At 36.7% G+C, this 2,653-nt stretch overlaps 1 annotated feature.

Moving 5' to 3' along the window:
• Positions 1,831 to 2,403: an enhancer, noted in NCBI's record as "NANOG hESC enhancer chr13:78358462-78359034 (GRCh37/hg19 assembly coordinates)". NCBI's record gives its function as "activates a minimal SCP1, AML or CMV promoter by ChIP-STARR-seq in naive H9 embryonic stem cells {active_cell/tissue: H9 hESC(naive)}" and the evidence as "EXISTENCE:reporter gene assay evidence [ECO:0000049][PMID:30033119]".

Here is a 2,653-nt window from a genome sequence, read left to right on the forward strand (position 1 = left end):
ATGAGCACAAGGGGTGAGTTGAGCGTTTCTCCTTTAAACATTTTTTTTAAATTGATAAGTGGACCCTAATCAAGCTGAAGAGCTTCTATAGAGAAAGAGAGCTATCAAAGATGTAAACAGACAACCTAAAGATTGGGAGAAAATATTCACAAACTATGCATCCAACTAAGGTCTAATATCCAGAATCTATAAGGAACTTAAACAAATCAGGAAGCAAAAACCAAGTAATCCCATTAAAAATTGGGCAAAGAACATGAACAGAGACTTCTCAAAAAAAGATGTGTAAGTGGTCAACAAACATGAAAAAGTGCTCATCATCGCTAGTCCTCAGAGAAAGGCAAATCGAAACCACGAGATACATCTCATGCCAGTAAGAATAGCTGTTATTTAAAAGTCACAAAATAATAGATGCTGGCCGAAGAGGCTGCAGAGAAAAGGGAATGCTTATAACACTGCTGGTGGGAATGTAAATTAGTTTAGCTGCTGTGGACAGTGATCTAGGGATTTCTCAAAATAAGAGTTGAACTACCATTTGACCCAGCAATCCCATTACTGGGTATATATCCAAAGGAAAATAAATTGCTCTACCAAAAGGACACATACACCCGTATGTTCATCACAGTGCTATTCACAATAGTGAAAACATGGAATCAACCCAAGTGCCCATCAATGGTGGACTGAAGAAAGAAAGCATATACACCGTAGAATACTATGCAGCCATAAAAAACGATAAAATCATGTCTTTCGTGAAACATGGTTGCAGCTAGACACCATTATTCTAAGTGAACTGATGCCGAAACAGAAAATAAAATATCGCATGGTCTTGCTTAAAAGTGGGAGTTTAACACTGGATACTCACGGACATAAAGATGGCAGCAAAGGACACTGAGGAGCATTAGAGGAGAAGGAGAGGGAGGAGGGCAAGGGCTGAAAAATCTACCTCTTGTGTACTGTGCTCATTACCAGGGTGATGGGTTCATTCATACCCCAAACCTTACCTTCATTCAATATACCCATGTTATAGACCGGCACATATACTCCCTGATCCTAAAACAAAAGTTGAAAAATAAAACAATAAAAATAATTTAAAAATTTTGTTTTTCATTAATATTCCCCAAAAGAAGAGAGTATCAAAATAAGTACCTAAAACTCAAAACGTATGTATGATGTATGAAAAGATACAAGAGGTATTTTTCATAATAGCAAAAAATAGGAAATAAACCAGATGAGAATCAAAATGATTCTCAAAATTATCAAAATAAATCAAATGAGAATCAAAAGGAATACGGGTAAAGAAACCACGGTACCTAGTGGAAGACCATGTGGTAATTAAACTGAATGAGCTAAGTTATGTGGAACAGCATAGAAAAATCTTGAAAACATAATTCTAAATGAAGAAAACAAGTGAAAAAGGATATGTTCAAAATGATAGCACTTATGCAAATGTTAATATTGAAACAAAATTAAAAAATCATATAAACTGTATGCAATTATAATACAACTGAAAATTCCAAGAAAACTAAACCTCAAATTTCAAATAATGATTTTTCAGAGAGTTGGGGGGAAGATGAGGGATTGGGCTTGTAGTTGCAACTATAATATCATCTTTGTTTTTAAAAATTCTGGAGTCAATAGAGAAAGATGTTATTAAAGTTTATTGAATTTTTTCAATAGTACACAGAAGTCTGTTTTATTATATTTTGTGTTTTTGGTGGTTTTGAGACATAAAAATAAAATGAAGGAGACGTAAATGTAAGCATCTAAAAATTATGTGTCACATAAGAGTGGTTGTCAAAAGATTCAGCTCATCCATTCTTAGCCTTTTCAAACAGAAACCCTATTTTATTAAATTGTGCCAACCAAAGCCATTCCTCTGTGAAATCATTGGAGGAAAGGAGAAGCTGCGGGATGGAGAAGAAATGCAAACAAATACAAGTCTTTGGCTACCAGGAGGTTTTTATTTTCTCCCAAATGGGAGCTCTTTGAAGGAAAGGATTGTCTTTGATCTTCTTGTACCAATCCAGTGAATCCAGCCAAGTCCTAGGAACACAAAGACAGCTAAAAATATCAATAACAAAACGTTGAGCTGTTCTTATGAACAGCTCAAAGCAGGTTCACATGGATTCCCTCCTGTTGCCTCACTGGGGTCCTGAGAATCCCATTCAGATCATGTTACCAGCGCCACTCTGCCTTATCGCAATGGTCTCATCCTTTTCAGTGTGGAAGCAGAAGTGCTTTGTTCTAAGAAAGATGACCTAGGAAATCCTGCTGAGATAGATGAGTCTGGATTGCATCAGGCTCATTACTGGATTGATAAACGTCGAGAACAATGACAGTGTGTTATCTGCTGGATTTTATTGAAAGGAGCTTGCATTCAATACTCCTGATTGTGACAAGAGCCTGAGCACATTTTCTCTCAGTGCCTACCATAACATTTCTGAGGGTTTGCACAGTGTCTGTCTATAAACTAGTGTTTTGAGGGTTCTCTGTGGGAAAGATGTAGTGAGAGTTATGCCAAGGTGATTCAGGAACACTAGAGGTTTTCCTTTCGTTCTTCTGTATATCTGTGCTCATGGGTCCAAGTTAGTCATCCTCTCTAGGTGAGAGAAGAGAAGTACACATGCTAAGCTCTGTTCCAAAAGGGTTGATCATT

This window comes from Homo sapiens, chromosome 13 (genome assembly GCF_000001405.40).
Source record: "Homo sapiens chromosome 13, GRCh38.p14 Primary Assembly".
NCBI classification, from domain to species: Eukaryota; Metazoa; Chordata; class Mammalia; order Primates; family Hominidae; genus Homo; species Homo sapiens.